Source organism: Homo sapiens, chromosome 5 (assembly GCF_000001405.40).
Source record: "Homo sapiens chromosome 5, GRCh38.p14 Primary Assembly".
In the NCBI taxonomy this organism is placed as follows: Eukaryota; Metazoa; Chordata; class Mammalia; order Primates; family Hominidae; genus Homo; species Homo sapiens.
In genome coordinates, this window is record NC_000005.10 from 151,783,749 (window position 1) to 151,802,704 (window position 18,956).

The window sequence follows — 18,956 nt, forward strand, 5'->3', positions numbered from 1 at the left end:
GAAGAACTTACCTAAACATTCTTTTTTTTCTGGAGATGGAGTCACGCTCTGTCGCCCAGGCTGGAGTGCAGTAGTGCGATCTCAGCTAACTGCAACCTCCGCCTCCCGGGTTCAAGCAGTTCTCCTCCCTCAGCCTCCTGAATAGCTGGGATTACAGGCGCGTGCCACCACGGCCAGCTAATTTTTGTATATTTAGTAGAAATGGGGCTTCACCATGTTGGCCAGGATGGTCTCGATCTCTTGATTCTGTGATCCGCTCGCCTCGGCCTCCGAAAGTGCTGGAATTAACAGGCGTGAGCCACCACACCTGGCCAACATTTTTTAATTTATTTATATTTATATTTATGTTTGTACTTTATTTTTTTGAGATGGGGTCTTGCTCTGGCACCCAGGCCGAAGTGCAGTGGCATGATGATAGCTCACTGCAGCCTCAAACTTCTGGGCCCTAGCATTCCTCGTGCCCCAGCCACCTGAGTAGCTGAGACTTTCAGGAATGTGCCACTACACTTAGCTAATTTTTTTTTCTTCATTTTTTCAGAGATAGGGTCTTGCTTTGTTGTTGCCCAGACTAATCTCAAACAACATTTTTTAGTAATTAAACAGTGTTATGTCTGCTATCTTAATCTAAATGCTGGAAAACCTGCTAAGTCAGTTTTGATAGTTAGATGGTCAGAAATCAACTCTGCTAGTATAAAATTCTAACCTCTTCCCTTTGTGTGAGAAGGTTGAATAAAAAAATTGTGTCTGTTATGTGTCAGACATTAAGTTTTGGGGCTAAAACGTTGGGTAAGAAATGGTCTCTGCTCTTAAAAAACTTAATATTTGGGAAAAAGTTTGTATTCTTTATTCAGTATGTTTTATCTGACCATAACTAATGTAGAATTTGTGAAGCCTTTGATTATTTTAATTTAGCACTTAGATTTTTTTTAAATAGTGAAGCAGTATACTTTCATTTTTTTTACTAAAAGGAAGTACATATTTAGTCATGTGGAATTTAAAAAAAGTACTGCTACTGTTTCCCTTGAGCTCTTTGGTGGATATTTATTATCAATAGATAATATATTTATTTACATTAAAGGAGTGACTTTAGGAGCCAGCTGCCACTTAAATGGAACTGTTTATAGTGTAAATGGGAAACTATAAGCGTATTTGAGGCAAATCTAATGTTGAAACTTAACTTCAGTACAAGAGTGTTGAAAATTTGGTTTGACTAACAGCTGTTGCATGTTTCTGAAGTTGACAGTCTCAACTCAAAGTAGAATGTTTGGAAAATTAAATGCTAATTGAGACCCTAATTTGCAAAATGATGTAAACTGTTAAAATGTTAAACTAATGACGAAATGATCCACCTGCCTCAGCCTCCCAAGGTGCTGGGATTACAGGCGTGAGCCACCGTGACCAGCCAACTTTTAAAGTACATTAGTCTAAGACTTAGGATCTAGATTGTTACTGATATGCTCAATACACATGCCTGAAGGCAAAATACTCCTAGTATGACTGGGAAGCTTCTTCATATTGATCTTAGTGGCTGTAGTTTTGGGGACAATAACAGGCATTGGTGAAATAAATACTAATTGGGGTAGATATTCAAGAATAATGCAAAGATGGAACTAGATGAGAGTAAATATATCTTCACAAATTGCTTGTTTAGAAATGGATCAACCAGAGTCAATCTATTTTGTCTACCCCTGTTTAAAAAAAAACAGCTAAAATTTTTCTTTCTTTTCTGCGGTAGTTAAATCTGTATATATTCTCTGTTTGCCTGTATGTTTAAGTTTGGGATAATTTTATCTCTTCCCCCGTGAATGAAATGCTGGGATGATCTCATTGCAGGTTTTTTATTCAGAAAGTGTTTTTTGGTAATAGCTTACAATAATTGGACTTCTTATGGGACAGGTGCCTTTCTTGGCATTCAAAGGTGTTAATTTTACATGATCACAATTTTGATACAGTAGGAATTATTTTGAGTATAAACATCTTGTTTGTTAACTTCCCCATTTTATTTTGAAATTTTTTAATTACATGATAGAATGAAGTAGTAAGCATATTTAGAATTTTTAGTCTTGTAGTTTCTTTTTAAAAGATGCTATACTAAAAGTTTATCTGATTTAGATGGGCCAGAAAATGTGATAGTTTGTCCCCGGATGTCAAAACTATGTTGTTTAAGATTATTGCCTTTGAATCTAATATTGCCTCAAATAAGAATGTGCTTGTAACTTTACAACTGGAACACTCTTAATTGGGCTTAATAACTTAAGAAAATTACCAGGTGCTGTGGCTCACGCCTGTAATCCCAGCACTTTGGGAGGCTGAGGCGGGCAGATCATGAGGTCAGGAGTTTGAGACCAGCCTGGATAACATAGTGAAATCCCGTGCTAAAAAATACAAAAATTAGCCGGGCATGATGGCGCTTGCCAGTAGTCCCAGCTACTATGGAGGCTGAGGCAGGAGAATCGCTTGAACCTGGGAGGTGGAGGTTGTGGTGAGCCGAGATCGCACCACTGCACTCCAGCCTGGGCAACAGAGAGACTCTGTCTCAAAAACAAAACAAGAAAATTATGGTGGGAAGTATGTTGGAAATATATACCTTTGAGGTTCTTACGTCTTGAATATTGGGGATAATGATGAATTCTTCATAATGATTTCCCCCTTTTGTATTCATATGATTGCAATACATTTGTATAAAATCTCAACTGGTCTGTATGGGCTCTGTTTGTTTTTATGATGTTTGTTCATGTTTTAAACGACTTGCTGAAATGATCTTGTCTCTGAGTTGGTTTCAGCTAAATGATTCGGTCTTTTCCCCTGTGTTTGATCCTTCAGGTTTGGACATATTTGACTCTTTTCCCCCCAGGTTGAATTGACCAAAGCAATGGTGATGGAGAAGCCTAGTCCCCTGCTGGTCGGGCGGGAATTTGTGAGACAGTATTACACACTGCTGAACCAGGCCCCAGACATGCTGCATAGGTAAGACATTTTTCTCCTGCATCATCTAATGCTGTCTTTTAGTATGTGGTACTTATCTTTGAGATTCTCCCACTCATCATCTTATGCTTTGTAGGGTTGTTGCATAATACTTATTTACATATAAATATCCCCCAATTTTTTATTTGAGACAGAGTCTCGCCCTGTTGTCCAGACTGGAGTGCAGTGGTGCGATCTGGACTGACTGCAACGTCCACCTCCCCAGTTTAAGTGATTCTTCTGCCCCAGCCTCCTGAGTAGCTGGGACCACAGGTGCCCACAACCATGCCCGGCTAATTTTTGTATTTTTTTTTTTTTTTTTTTTAAGTAGAGACGGGGTTTCACCATGTTGGCCAGGCTGGTCTCAAACTCCTAACCTCAGGTGATTGATCCGCCTTGGCCTCCCAAAGTCCTGGGATTACAGGCGTGAGCCACTGCGCCTAGCCCCAAAAAATAATTTTTGAAAGTTAAACTAAGTTATCTAAACTTGTACATTATTGGAAAATAACAATTGAAATGTAAAGGTATAGTCATGCATTATTTACTAAGAATGTATTAAAGATTGCTGGAGCTGAGGTGGATGTAAAAAATAAGAATGTATTGAAGACAATCCATGACTGTTCCTGTAATACCATACTTTTGTGTTGATGCGCTTTAAAAAATTAGTGTCTTTAGTAGAAATGATGCATGCTTATTGAAAATTAGAACACAGATAAATTATGAAAGTAGTAAAACCACAGAAACAATTTTTCTATATATATAGAAACATGTTTTAATATACTGTCTTAACTTTCTTACTTGATAATCTGGAGTCATCTTTCAGGGTAATACTTGTATCCCATTAATTTTAGTGGCTACACAGCTTTTTATAGAGATGTAGTGTACTTTAATCTCCTAATGATGGATCTATAGATTGCTTCTATTATTTTCTCTTACAATGTCGCTTTATACAAAACTGTCTATTTATGTGGACTTGTTAGAATAATTTCATAGAAGTTTCAAAATGTGTATTTGCTGGACCAGAACTATTTTTTCCCTTACACCTTGACCAGCTTGCATATTGGATACCACATGATTATCAGGTATAAAATAAAATTTATGAATGTATTCAATATGAATATTTTCAATTCATAAAATAAAATTTATGAATGTTTTGACATTGCTCTGACAATGGAATATATCTCGTGTGTGTGTGTGTGTGCATGTGTGTGTGTGTGTGAGAGAGAGAGAGAGAGTTAAGTCTCAGCTGTCTCCCGGGCTGGAGTGCAGTGGCAAGGTCACAGCTCACTGCAGCCTTGAACTCTTGGGCTCAGACGATCCTCCCACCTCAGCCTCCTGAGTAGCTGGGACTGAGGTGCAATCCACCACGCCCAGCTAATTTTTTGTAGAGACAGTTTTACCATGTTGCCCAGGCTGATCTCGAACTCCTGGGCTCAAGCAATTCGCCTGCTTCAGCCTTCCAAAATACTGGGATTACAGGTGTAATTGGGTTTTTTTTTAAGGCTTTAAAATTTCCAGAACATTTTTTCTCATTTCCTCCTGATCATTACAAAAATCTTTACTGAAAGGTAGGGCATTGTAAGAGAGTTAACTTCATTTTGCAGATACACTCAGAGGGGTTAAAAATTTGCAGGTACATATGCACATGACTATTAAGTGATAAAACAAGTCTCAAAGCTGTTTTTACCCTTTCTTTCTTTTTTTTTGAGACAGTCTTACTCTGTTGCCCAGGCTGGAGTGCAGTGGTGAGATCATAGCTTACTACAGCCTTGACCTCCAGGGCTCAAGTGATCCTCCTGCCTCAGCTTCCTACATAGCTAGGACTACAGGCATGCACTACCATGCCCAGCTAAGTTTATATGTGTGTGTGTGTGTGTGTGTGTGTGTGTGTGTGTGTGTGTATTATTTATTTATTTATTTTTAGTAGGTGGAGTCTCGCTCTGTCACCGAGCCTGGAATGCAGTGGTGAGAGCTCACTGCAGCCTCTGCCTCCCAGGTTCCGGTGATCCTCCTGCCTCAGCCTCCTGAGTAGCTGGGACTATGGGTGCGCACCACCACCATGCCTGGCTCTTTTTTTTTCTGGAGACAGAGTTTTGCTCTTGTTGACCAGGCTGGAGTGCAGTGGCGCTATCTCGGCTCACCACAACCTCTGTCTCCCAGGTTCAAGTGGTTCTCCTGCCTTAGTCTCCCGAGTAGCTAGGATTACAGGCATGCGCCACCATGCCTGGCTAATTTTGTGTTTTTGGTGGAGACGGTTTCCCTGTGTTGGTCAGGCTGGTCTCGAACTTCCGACTTCAGGTGATCCGCCCACCTTGGCCTCCCAAAGTGTTGGGATTACAGGCGTGAGCCACCGTGCCCAGCCTTTTTTTGTATTTTTATATTTGGTTAATTTCTTTCTACCCCATAGAATAAAACTGACATAAAACATAACAAAAAGAAAAAAGCATAGGCCAGGCATGGTGGCTTATGCCTGTAATTCTAGCACTTTGAGAGGCTGAGGTGGGCGGATCACTTGAGGTCAGGAGTTCAAGACCAGCCTGGCCAATATGGCAAAGCCTTCTCTCTATACTAAAAATACAAAAAAAGGCGGAGGTTGCAGTGAGCTAAGATTGCGCCATGGCACTCCAGCCTGAGCAACAGCACAAGACTCTGTCTTAAAAAAAAAAATGTATTTATCTGGAAGACAAATGTCAAATCTTAATAGTGGTTATCCCTGGATTAGAGCATTTTGGTGTGTTGCTTTCCTGGTAGAATATTGTTTTAATGAAAATGGATCAAAGGAGGACATAGATGGGTGAAAACCATGAGGAATTGACTTTGACATTCTTAATTGCATCAGCAGAAATAGTTAAAAAGTACTTCTAAAACCACTTGCATGAACTAGGTGTTTAAGGGGAACCGCTCACGCTTATTCTCAGATACATTAATAAAAGGACACTTGAAGTCTATGAAGAAGATAGCTGTTCCAGCCTTACCGCACATTTTCTTCCTGAGTGAAAATAGGAACTTATGTATTGGTGGCCATCTTGACATGAAACTACAAGATCCTTCCCAACAGTATCATCCTACACTGAAACCTGGAACCAAATCCATTCCCATTCAGCAAATGTTGATCAAGTGGCATGTAGGGGATACAGAGATGATTGCATACAAAGATGAAAAAGAAAACGTTTCTGCCAGGGCCAGGCGCGGTGACTCACACCTACAATTCCAGCACTTTGGGAGGCCAAGGCAGGTAGAATTGCTTGAGTTTGAGTTCGAGACCAGCCTGGGCAACATAGTTGACCTTATCTCTACTTAAATAAAAATAATCAGCCAGGCATGGTGGCATGTGACTGTAGTTCCAGCTACTTTGGGAAGCTGAGGTGCCATTGCACTCCAGCCTGGTCAGCAAGAGCAAAAAAAAAAAAAAAAAAAATGTGCACATCAAAGATCATAGCCCCGGCACATCGAAGCTGCAATGAGCTATGATTGCATCACTGCACTCCAGCCTGGGTGACAGAATGAGACCCCGTTGCAAAAAAAAAAAAAAAAGTTTGCCAGTATCAGACGTGAAAAATAAACTTAAGATACTTGAAGATGACAAGTAAATCATCTTCCCATTTTACAGATTTTATGGAAAGAACTCTTCTTATGTCCATGGGGGATTGGATTCAAATGGAAAGCCAGCAGATGCAGTCTACGGACAGAAAGTAAGCATTTCAAGCCTTATTTAGGCTGTTAAGCAGGTAGAAAATAACTCATAAAATTGAAGTGGATCATACTTAATAGATTTGCTGATAAAGATCCAGTTTCTCAACTTTTTAGTAAAAGTTGATGTGTTTTATTACTATTTGATTAATATATTTGTTGAAATACTTATGTGATGTCAGATTTGTTAATTTTGTATGATATATTCTAAAGCTTTTGTGTGTTGGAAGATAATTGGCTTTAGCATGGGGATCATCTTTTCTAAACTTTGAAAAGTGTGTTAATTCAGGACAGTTATTTAAAAAACTCAAGCGCGGTCACTGGGAATAGAGTATACAAAGAAACATCAAAATTCAGTCTGCATATCCTGTAATTTAAATATACACATTCTCTTTGTGTTGTGTTGGAAGGTTTTTTTTAGTTGGAGGTTATTTAAATTTTAAGGCATTCTCAGTTGATTATTATTATTATTATTATTTTTTTAAGGAAATCCACAGGAAAGTGATGTCACAAAACTTCACCAACTGCCACACCAAGATTCGCCATGTTGATGCTCATGCCACGCTAAATGATGGTGTGGTAGTCCAGGTGATGGGGCTTCTCTCTAACAACAACCAGGCTTTGAGGAGATTCATGCAAACGTTTGTCCTTGCTCCTGAGGTATGTGTAGGAATGATTATTTTGTAGTGATCCAATACATGAAAAAAGAAACAATGAACTGTTGTGCATATCTTTAAAAACACTTGAAATTTCAGACTTACAGAAAACTTGGAATAATAGTACACTAACTCCTATATACTCCTTACCTAGAGCAGCTGTCACCACTTGCCCACATGTGTATAATTCTTTCTCTAAAATAGTTTAGTGGGCATTTCCTAAGAATAATTCTCTTCCATTCTGTAGTACAGTTATCAAATTCAGGAAATGTTGATGCAATATAATCTATAATCCATTTTTAAAATTTGGAAATTATCTCAATAATGTCTTAACAGTAATTTTTTTTCCTTGTCCAACATGGAATCTATAATTACACATTGCATTTAGCTATCATGTCTCTAGTCTCTTCTAATCTGCACTTGTTCCTTAATCTTTTGTTTTTTTTTATTGCATTGACATTTTTGAAGAGCACACTTTTTTTGTAGGATGCTTTATGGGTGTCATTCAGTGCTTCACATTAGGCATATTATGTCATTTAGTTGTGATATGAATTTTGATTAGTTAGGTTTTGCCACTGTAAAGTTAAATATCTTTTCTCTCTCTCTCTTTTTTTTTGAGACGGAGTCTCACTGTATCGTCCAGGCTGGAGTGCAGTGGCTCCATCTCTGCCCACTGCAACCTCCGCCTCCTGGTTTCAGGCTGTCCTCCTGACTCAGCCTCCCGAGTAGCTGGGACTATAGGCGTGTGCTACCGTACTCGGCTGATTTTAGTATTTTTAGTAGTGATGGGGTTTCACCATATTCGTCAGGCTGGTCTCTAACTCCTGACCTCAAGTGATCTGCCTGCCTCAGCCTCCGAAAGTGGGATTACAGGTGTGAGCCACCATGCCCAGCCTTATTTTTTCTCTTTTTGATTTGTAAATGAAGGATGGGAGATTCTCTATCTTTTTATCTTTCTTGAACACTTATGGCAAAATATTTTCCAGGTTCATCTTGCACTGTTCCTGGCCCAGTCCCTATTCTTGAATCAGCTGTTCCTTCAAGGAGGCCTGGTTCTTTTTAGTTATACTTATGAAAGGACGACAAGTTTATGTTGAATGATTGCATTTGTGTTTTCTTCCGGATTGGTCTAGACTGAACAAGGTTAGGAATCCTGTCTGCTTAAGCATGTATATAGAAATGGCATAGTAAGAAATTGTTGATTAAATCATTGTTTTCTCTAGCATTAATCTTAAGTTTTCTTTTTAGGATAGCAAACCTGAAACGCCTAAAATCTTTTAACCTTTGAATATGAGATAACTTTTTGTCTGTGCAAAATTACATGAAGCCAATTATAGTCATAATTTTTAGAGGAAGGCTTAGATTAAAATGTAAAGATGTGGTAGACTTCTAAATATGCAAAGAATCACATGGAGTATGATTGTGAATTACAGGTTTAATTACAGTTTTTTTCTTTTAAAGGAAGTATCTAACTTCTTAGTATAATACACTATTATATAAACTGTCTCATTTAATACAGAGAGTATTGAGGTATATGTTGATATCTTTCTTTTTTGTTTTTTGAGAGAAGAGTCTCCCTGTGTTACCCAGGCTGGAGTGCAGTGGTAGGATCATGACTTACTGCAGCCTTGACTGCCTGGGCTGAAATGATAATCCCACCTGAGCCTCCTAAGTAGCTGGGACCACAAGTGCAGGCCACCATTCCTGGCTGATTTTTGTTTCTGCTTTTGTGGAGACTCACTCTACAAAAAACTCACTGTTGCCCAGGCTAGTCTCAAACTCCTGGGCTTAAGCAGTTCTCCTACCTCAGCTCTCCAAAGTGTTGGGATTTCAGGAGTGAGCCACTGTGCCTAGCTGGTACCTTTCTTTTTACAGAGGAGTAACAGCCTTAGAAACTGAATAACTCATAATATATAATTGGATCTGCACTCAGGTGTGTCTTATACCTACTGCGAGCAATCTTTTTCAGGCTGCACTACCCTTGAGTGTTTATATCAATATTTTTGGAGACAGACTTGGGGAATTTTAAATATCTGCTGAAGTTAGGAATATGATTGCCTTTTTTTTTGAGACAAGGTCTTACTCTGTCGCCCAGGCTGGAGTGCAGAGGTGCAGTCTGGGCTTACTGCACCCTCCACCTCCCGGGTTCAAGCAATCCTCCCGCCTCAGCCTCCCTAGCAGCTGGGACTACAGGTGTGGGCCATTATGCCTGTCTCATTTTTGTATTTTTAGTAGAGATGGGGTTTCACCATATTGGCCAGGCTGGTCTTGAACTCCTGACCTTAGGTGATCTGCCTGCCTCGGCCTCCCAAAGTGCTGGGATTGCAGGCATGAGCCACTGTGCCCATCCGGGATATGATTGCCTTATAATGTTTTGAGGTGTGGGCTGTGGCATTTACATGCTTAGGGCTTTGTCAGTTTTTGGATATTTATCTTGTGGTGAGGTAAAGTGTTCTGAGCAAACAAAATGTATGTGAGTGTAGTCTTTTTACCGGCTATTGTAGAGTGGGCATTTTCAGTCTTGGCACTGTTGACATTTTGGATTAACTAATTCTTTGTTGTGGGAGCCTGTCCTGTGCATTGTAGGAATTTAGCAGCATCCCTAACCTTATAAGTTGTCAGTAGCATTCCATGTAGTGAATACTGAAATGTCAGCAGGGCATGCTGGCTCATACCCATAATTCAGAACTTTGGGATGCTGAGGCGGGAGGACCACTTGAGCCCAGGAATTAAAGACCAATCCGGGCAATATAACAAGATCCCGTCTCTACTCAAAAAAAAAAAAAAAAAAAAGAAAAAAGAGAAATTAGCCTTGCATGGTGGCGCGCCCCTGTAGTTCTAGCTACTTAGGAGGCTGAGGCAGGAGGATTGCTTGAGCCTGGAATGTCAAGGCTGCAGTGAGCTGTGGTGGCTCACTGCATTCCCACCTGGCTGACAGCAAGACCCTGTCTCAGAACCCCACAACAACAAAAACTGAAATGTCTCCAGATATTGCCAGATGTCTCATGGAGGCAGACTTGTCCCAGTCACCAATGGTGTAGAGTGATTTGACTTTCTAAAAGTCTGTTGAATAAATTAAAACTTTCTGTTGGCATTGCAGGGGTCTGTTGCAAATAAATTCTATGTTCACAATGATATCTTCAGATACCAAGATGAGGTCTTTGGTGGGTTTGTCACTGAGCCTCAGGAGGGTAAGTAGTGAAATACTTTAAATTACTTGTCTAAATTTTTTTTAATGGCATCCGATTGCCCTTAAGAGACTATGGGTTTCTTTACTGTTTTCATTACACTCTGTTCTTCATTAATAACTAATTATGGTATATGAAGAGTCTGAGGTTTTACCCTACTTGAAGCTGCTAACAGGTTAGCTTATATCATGGATGTTAGTAGAAGACATAAGACTCTTAGGTCAGAAGGAGACAGGCTAACTCACAGCGACAGTAGTAGTATTTTTGCCACATTTACCAATAGGATGTCATGGAGAAGGCTAGGTGATACTTCTACTGCAGTGGGTTGTGTTAAAGGCATGGGACACTGAGTTTAGGGAACCCAGATCTATTACAACAGGCAGTAAACATGACTACTCTTTGTGCTGGAGGGAGATACTCTTTCAAAGCTGTTTGCTATATAAATGTTCTTGAAAGACAGTCTAGAAGAAAGGGTAGGCATGGAAGATGTGTAGACACAGAGACTTATGGAAAATTTTCTCCAAAATAGTAGAATTGAGTGTTGTTTATATGGCTGAGAGTATATTTATTTTGTAATACAGTTTTACAGATAAGCAATCATTTGCCTAGTAAAGTGGTAGAGCCTGCATTAGATAACTGCCTAATATAATTTGGCTAATGTCACGTAGCCAGTAAGGTGACAGAGCCTGCATTAGGCTCCATGCTCTTAAAAACCAAGACACTACAGTAGCCTTAAAGTCTATCCTTAAGGCTGGGCGCGGTGGCTCACGCCTGTAATTCCAGCACTTTGGGAGGCCCAGGCGGGCAGATCACGAGGTCAGGAGATCGAGGCCATCCTGGCTAACATGGTGAAACCCCATCTCTACTAAAAATACAAAAAATTAGCCAGGCGTGGTGGCAGGCGCCTTAGTCCTAGCTATTCGGGAGACTGAGGCAGGAGAATGGCGTGAACCCAGGAGGTGGGGCTTTCAATGAGCCGAGATCGCGCCACTGCACTCTCTAGCCTGGGCGAGAGAGCGAGACTCCGTCTCAAAAAACAAAAAACAAAAAAAAGTCTGTTCTTCAAAGCCTTAGTTCTGTCCTTAAAGTCAGTGCCATGATTTTACCAAATTGTCCTACTTTGTTTATTTATATATGTTTTTCTTCACTGTTGTTTTGTGAACATTGCGAAAGTTAATGTATATGTGAATTCAGTAAGTACAAATTACTTTAAATATCTTTTTCTCACTTAGAGTCTGAAGAAGAAGTAGAGGAACCTGAAGAAAGACAGCAAACACCTGAGGTGGTACCTGATGATTCTGGAACTTTCTATGATCAGGCAGTTGTCAGGTAAGAAGATTTTGTTCACATGTCCGGGGCTGCATAAGAACTTGCATTGTCTAGTCTTTCCCTTTGTTGGAGGGCATTTACATATTCTGAGAATTACCTCAAAATAATAATTTCTCAGAAGAATGGTTTTGTTTCTGGTAATTTTGACTAAACAAAAATATGTAACTTGTTTGTTAATAGTAAATTGTACTATGAAGGCAATCTACTATTGCTTAGTTTAAATAGTATCAGTTTCTTTTTGGTTTAGTTTTTTCTTGGTGTTAAGTGAAAACTTGCATATTGTTTATCAAGAGTTGAATGTATTGAGGTATTAAATGCTTTGAGGGAATATGAAGTGGACAGAGACCTATTTAATTAGAGATCGGGCATAAATTGATATAAATACCAATATGTGAGTTAAGTAGCAATAAAGAATTTCATTACGTTAGTAAGTGCATCATTATACCTTTGGGTTTTTTCCCCCTTGTGATTAGAACAGAAATGTGTTTGATAGCAATAGAAATCCATATTTACTTGTTACCATGTGATACTGAATGTTAATATTCAGTGCCTGAAGGGTGTTTTCAAGTGTTTCTTAAGGTGTGATGAACTAATCAGGTTACTCACTTGGGTTGCTGGTTGAAAATGAAGATTCATGGTCCCACTGCAAACCTACCGAATTAGACTTTCAGGAGGCAAAACATCTGCAGTTTTGTTTGTTTTTGTTCTATTGAGACAGAGTCTTGCTCTGTTACCCAGGCTGGAGTGCAGTGGCGCGATCTTGGCTGACTGCAACCTCCGCTTCCTGGATTCAAGCAATCCCCCTGCCTCAGCCTCCTGAGTAGCTGGGACTACAGGCGCACGCCACCATGCCCGGCTAAGTTTTGTGTTTTTGTAGAGATGGGGTTTCGCCATATTGGCCAGGCTGGTCTGGAACTCCTAATCTCAGGTGATCTGCCCACCTTGGCCTCGCAAAGTGCTGGGATTACAGGTGTGTGCCCAGCCCCCTCTGCAGTTTTAACAGCATTTCTGGTTGATTTATGTGGAATTTTAAGAATTGTATTCTGAATCATAACTATTTTCTCCCCCAAATTCCTTATGTGCTTGAAAGAGTTTTTGTGTGTTTGTGTTAAAAGCCACATATCATAAAATTTGCCATCTTAACCTTTTTTTCATCTTAACCATTTTTAAGTGTAAAGTACAGTAGTGTTAACTGTATAGATGTGGTTCTATGACAGATATCTAGGACTTTTCACCTTACAACTTTTATTGAAGATAACTTTATATACCTTATAAACAGACTATACCCATTGAATGGCAACTTTCTTTCCCGCCCCCCCCGCCCCAGCCTATTTTGAGAGTTTTTCTGATGTTGTATGCTAAATGAATTGTAATAGTTGTGGGATTCCAGCCATAAAGTGGTTTGGTTCATTTTGATGTCCTGATTCATTTGCTTATCAGAATTTGCCAAACAAATGGATTCCAGTTAAGTTATTGAGTGGCATTTTAAAAATTACTTTTTAAAAACTCAGATAGATATACAATTCTTAGATTTTTGTTTTGGATAGAAGGAGCTAACTCTGTGTTCTGGTTTCTGATTAATAAATGATGGAGGAATTTTTTGTGAAATAAATGGTGGCAGAATGATATTTCTCAAATTTTCCTGTCAAAGTAATGACATGGAAGAACATTTAGAGGAGCCTGTTGCTGAACCAGAGCCTGATCCTGAACCAGAACCAGAACAAGAACCTGTATCTGAAATCCAAGAGGAAAAGCCTGAGCCAGTATTAGAAGAAACTGCCCCTGAGGATGCTCAGAAGAGTTCTTCTCCAGCACCTGCAGACATAGCTCAGACAGTACAGGAAGACTTGAGGGTATGAAACGTGTCTTCATTTTTATTCTATTCCTAGTTATTTTTTTTAAAAAAAGTTTCTGTTCTTTTGTATTGCTGTTTGGTTGACTTGTAGATACATTTTCATATTGGTGGTTCATTTCAGGGAAATTTCTTAGATATTGAGCCATATGTTTGATAAGAGAGAGGTAAGATGTGTATTAGTTTATTTCATCAAAAGAAACCACTCCCTTCCCCGAGGTAACTTGAATGCCTGTTAGACCAGAAATTTTAGGTGCCACTGTAGCACCCTATCAGTGATTCCTTTTCTATTTAATATTTAATCTTTTACACTATAAATTATTACATACTTGTTACTACAAGTGCATAACATCTTTTCAAGAAAAATAACATGGCAGAATATACTTTTTCTATGAAATTTTATTGAAGATAACTTTATAGTGGAAGTAGAAATGAACTGCTGAAGTAAAACTTCTTTTCTAGTTGGCATACCTGATTTCAGAAGTTTTCAGTTTGTCCTTCTGAGTCTCGTCAGGGTGATTGTTAACTGAACTATCGTTGAAACCTTTGCATTTGGTGCTCTGGAAAGGAATATAATTTTTAGTGCTGTGTTTATAGGCTCAGGGTTATGTCATTTGTTTGTTCAATAATTCAAATTCCTGCTGTGTGTTAGGCATTGTTCAAAGTGTAGGTTTTATATTGGCAAAACAGATAGGGGTTCTTGTTCTCTGGCAGCTAATAGGTGAGTAGGAAAGAGCAATGTTGAAATGACTTTAGCTTGCAAGTGGAAAAAATTAGCTGGGCATGGTGGTGCCTATGTGTGGTCCCACCTGCTTGGGAGGCTGAGGTAGGAGGATGGCTTAGCCTGGGAAGTCAAGGCTGCAGTGAGCTATGATTATGCCACTGCATTCCAGCCTGGGTAATAGAGTAAGACCTTGTCACAAGAACAAAACCATAAGAAGCAAGTGGAAAAGTAGGTTGGCTGGACCAGCTGACCACTTAGTTGGTTATTATAGTAACCCTAGTGAGAGAGAATGATGGCTTGAATTAGAGTTGTGGCAGTGGAAATGGAAAAGAAATAATTAGGTAGAATAACAGGTTCTGGCGATTTTTAAATGTGCGAGAAAGGTGTTTATGATGATTCTACAATTGATGTAATTGAGTCGATGTTTGTACAATGGATTGGATGGAATCACAGTAGGAAGAGCTGAGCTGATTTTGGAGGAGAGGGAATTTTGTTTGATTCACAGATTTGAATGAAAGTAGCTTTTGTTGGGCCAGGCGTTGTGGCTTACGCATTTAATCCCAGCACTTTGGGAGGCTGAGGCCAGGAGGATTGCTTGAGTTTAGGAGTTCAAGACCAGCCTGGTCAATATAGTGAGACTTCATCTCTACTAAAAAGAAAAAATAGCTGGACATGGTGGCACATGCCTGTAGTTTCAGCTGCTTGGGAAACAGGTGGGAGGATCACTTGAGCACAGGAGATGTAGGCTGCAATGAGCTGTGTGCATGCCACTGCATTCCAGCCTGGGCAACAGAGCAAGATTCTGTCTCAAAAAAAAAAGTGAGTAGTTTCTTGAACCTAAGCCTCTCGGATTTGCTTGGTACTTGATCATCAGTCCCAAGGAATTTCAGTACTAAATTTTGAATAGCTGAAAGAGAAGAATCTTAATATATATATATAAACTCCATCCTGCCTATGAGAATGTGTTACCGTTTGTTCTGTACAGGAAATCAAGAGTTAGTAGCTTTTATATTGTTTTGATACCTGGTATAATTATGTAATGTTGGTATTGCTCCCTTAGACATTTTCTTGGGCATCTGTGACCAGTAAGAATCTTCCACCCAGTGGAGCTGTTCCAGTTACTGGGATACCACCTCATGTTGTTAAAGTACCAGCTTCACAGGTAAGGTCCTAATAAAACTTGTACATTAGGCAAATTTACTTCTATTGTGGTAATTTGATTCAACAGAGGTTTAGAGAATGTGAAAACTGGTCAGGTGCAGTGTGGCTCATGCCTGTAATCCCAGCACTTTAGGAGGCTGAAGCCAGCTGATCACTGGAGCCTAGGAGTTTGAAACCAGTCTGGGCAACATAGTGAGACCCTGTCTCTACAAAAAATAAGAAATTAGCTGGGCCTTGTGGCATGCATCTGTAGTCCTAGCTACTTAGGAAGCTGAGGTGGGAGGATTGCTTGAGTCCCGGAGGTTGAGGCTGCAGTGAGTCATGATTGTGCCACTGCACTGCATCATGGGCGACATACTGAGACTCTGGCTCAAAAAAAAAAAACCAACCCAAATCAATGTAGAAACAGAACTGACATATAGGACGGAAGAGAAGGGTATAAGATGGTTTTTAATGATTTTTCTTGTGAGGGAATTGTCCATTTTGTAGTTTAAAACTTGTTAGCTAAGAAACTTCATTAAGAAAAAGGATAAGCCTGCTTTGTTTTAACACAAAAGTTAACTTAAAATTTTTCAGCCCCGTCCAGAGTCTAAGCCTGAATCTCAGATTCCACCACAAAGACCTCAGCGGGATCAAAGAGTGCGAGAACAACGAATAAATATTCCTCCCCAAAGGGGACCCAGACCAAGTAAGAGCTCAGAAGGGCGATTTCTCGTTTGGGGGATTTTGAGGTGAGAGCTTATTTTGGGAGGGCAGTTGATATTTATATACTTTAAAATAAAAATATTGTAGGGTTGATGGAATTACCTGTTTTTAGTGTAGAGGGAAAACTATTGAATGTGAGCAGTCATTGAAAGATGTCTTCTTTCTCTTGTCTTTCATTGATGTTTTTGTCTCCTTTTAAGTCCGTGAGGCTGGTGAGCAAGGTGACATTGAACCCCGAAGAATGGTGAGACACCCTGACAGTCACCAACTCTTCATTGGCAACCTGCCTCATGAAGTGGACAAATCAGAGCTTAAAGATTTCTTTCAAAGTAGGTTATTGAGTTTTGAACACTAAATTCATCTAGTGTCTCTCTAGCACTGTCCAGTAGCAATAGAAAATGAGCCACATATGTAATTATAAATTTTCTAGTAGTCATGGTTAAAAAAAAAAAGGTAAAAAGAAACTGGATAATTTTAATAACATTTAACTTAAGGCATTGTCATTTCAACATGTAAGAATATTGTGAGAGATATTTTACACTTTTTCATAATCTTTGAAATCCAAATGTGCCTCCCATAATTTTACACTTATGAGAGGCACATCTCAATTCAGACTAGCTATATTTATAATTCAAGTGCTCAGTAGTCACATGCATCTAGTGGCTACTGTATTGGACTGTGTACATGTAATGTTTAAAGATAATGGTCTAAGTAGTTATCTGAGAATGTGTTTCACTTGCAGGTTATGGAAACGTGGTGGAGTTGCGCATTAACAGTGGTGGGAAATTACCCAATTTTGGTTTTGTTGTGTTTGATGATTCTGAGCCTGTTCAGAAAGTCCTTAGCAACAGGGTAAGCAGCTTTTTGTCTTGATTTTTTTTTTTTTTTTTTAAAAAGGGTTTTGGTTCTTTAGAATATATCTTTACAGCTGGGTCTTTATGTAAAGTGCAGTTTATTCCAACATGTTCAGGTAATTTATTCATTATTTTCAACCATTATTAAAAGACTTGCCTGGGGGTTTAGGAAAACAAACCTTATGTTTAAGTAACTTAGTTTTTGAAAACATGAATTATGAGAATGAGAAAATGAATAGTTATCAGTGCACTGAGATTTACGTAACTACCTTTCCTTGGTGGTGGCTTTTGGTATACAGGAGATGAAATACAAACCTACTTCTAACTATTAACTAAGATAAGAGCCAGTTTGCCCAGGACAGTTTTGGTATACTGCTGTTTTTAGAGAATAACTATTAAGAGCTTCTTCTTTAAGTTAATAAATTGGATTTGGAAGATAAATTATATAGTCAACCTACTTGGAACCATCCTTACTAACAGTACTCTTACTCTGTACGTTCTAATAATAGAAGAATTTGTAGAATGGAAATCTTACTGTGGGATCCCCAAAGAAAGCTTCCCTTCCTCTAGCAAAAAACTACTTTTTGTAGTAGTAGAGAAGAACAAGTGTATAAATAATATTAATTTACTAAGCTATACTTTTTTATTGAGGTGAAATTTACATAACAAAATTAACCATTTAAAAATGTACAACTTAATTGCATTTAGAACACATTATTGTGCAACCATTACCTTTAATTCCAAAAGTTTTTTACTAAAAGCCATAAGCTCTTTACTCACTAAGCAGTCATTCCTTGTACCTGTCTCCCAACCCCTGGCAGCCACTAATCTGCTTTCTGTCCCTATGAATTAAAATTGTGTACTTTAAACCATATAATAAAAATACTGCAGATCAGTGATATTCTCCAGAATGTTAATGGGCATACTGCAAAGTTTTTTATTTTTTTATTTTTTTTTTTTTGAGACAGTGTCTCTCTCTGCCACCCAGGCTGGAGTGCAATGGTGTGATCTTGGCTCACTGCAACCTCCACATCCTGGGTTCAAGCAGTTCTCCTGCCTCAACTTCCTGAGTAGCTGGGATTACAGGCACCCGCCACCATGCCCAGCTGATTTTTTTGTATTTTTAGTAGACATGGGGCTTCCCCATGTTAACCAGGCTGATCTCGAACTCCTGACCTCAGGTGATCCGCTGACCTTGGCCTCCCAAAGTGCTGGGATTATAGGTGCGAGCCAATGCACCTGGCCTTACTGCATAGTTTAATGTTGTGGTTATAACATGTCAACCTGAGTATGCAAATATACATTATCTTTCAAATTATTTGACCATTTATTTTTGTGAAGCATCTCCTGCAAAATACTGTTTGAGAAATGAGAGAACAGTGGTTTATCTCACCAAAGCCACTGAAGAACCCAGAAATGTCCAGTAGGCTTTGTAGATAAATCCATCATTCAGCATGTATTAGGCCTAGTGGCCACCCTTCATTTCATGGTATTGATAGAAGTCTACTATGCTCCCTTCACTAATTTTTTGTGTGAGCAGAAATAGCTTATGTAAGACTGATTGCCGTGGTGTATGACATACTGTAGTGTAGCTTACCGTTTCAAAGCTTATTTTTCCCTGGAGGCCTTGGTTTGTATTCTCCTTTCATCACTCATTAGTGTTGTGACCCATGGGACAAGTTACTTAACCTCCCCGGCCCTTAGTTTGCTAGTCCTTAAAGTAGGTATCTACCATCAGAGGGTTGTTGTAAAGGTTAAGTGAGCTAATAAATTTGAATAGAGCTGGGCACAGTGGCTCACGCCTGTAATCCCAGCACTTTGGGAGGCCGAGGC

At 39.3% G+C, this 18,956-nt stretch overlaps 1 protein-coding gene across 2 annotated transcripts in view; it reads left to right on the forward strand.

Annotated features, from left to right (window-relative positions):
• G3BP1 (G3BP stress granule assembly factor 1) overlaps positions 1 to 18,956 on the forward strand; it is a 40,832-nt gene that overhangs the window by 11,795 nt on the left and 10,081 nt on the right. The window contains exons 2-11 of one of the 2 annotated variants that reach the window (NM_005754.3): positions 2,824 to 2,967; positions 6,575 to 6,656; positions 7,141 to 7,314; positions 10,411 to 10,501; positions 11,731 to 11,827; positions 13,479 to 13,680; positions 15,464 to 15,565; positions 16,141 to 16,252; positions 16,470 to 16,598; positions 17,012 to 17,121. In NM_005754.3, coding sequence (NP_005745.1) covers positions 2,873 to 2,967; positions 6,575 to 6,656; positions 7,141 to 7,314; positions 10,411 to 10,501; positions 11,731 to 11,827; positions 13,479 to 13,680; positions 15,464 to 15,565; positions 16,141 to 16,252; positions 16,470 to 16,598; positions 17,012 to 17,121 — 1,194 coding nt within the window. In that variant the 5' untranslated portion in view covers positions 2,824 to 2,872. The remainder of the gene's footprint in view (positions 1 to 2,823; positions 2,968 to 6,574; positions 6,657 to 7,140; positions 7,315 to 10,410; positions 10,502 to 11,730; positions 11,828 to 13,478; positions 13,681 to 15,463; positions 15,566 to 16,140; positions 16,253 to 16,469; positions 16,599 to 17,011; positions 17,122 to 18,956) is intronic. The other variant, NM_198395.2, reaches the window with a different exon arrangement.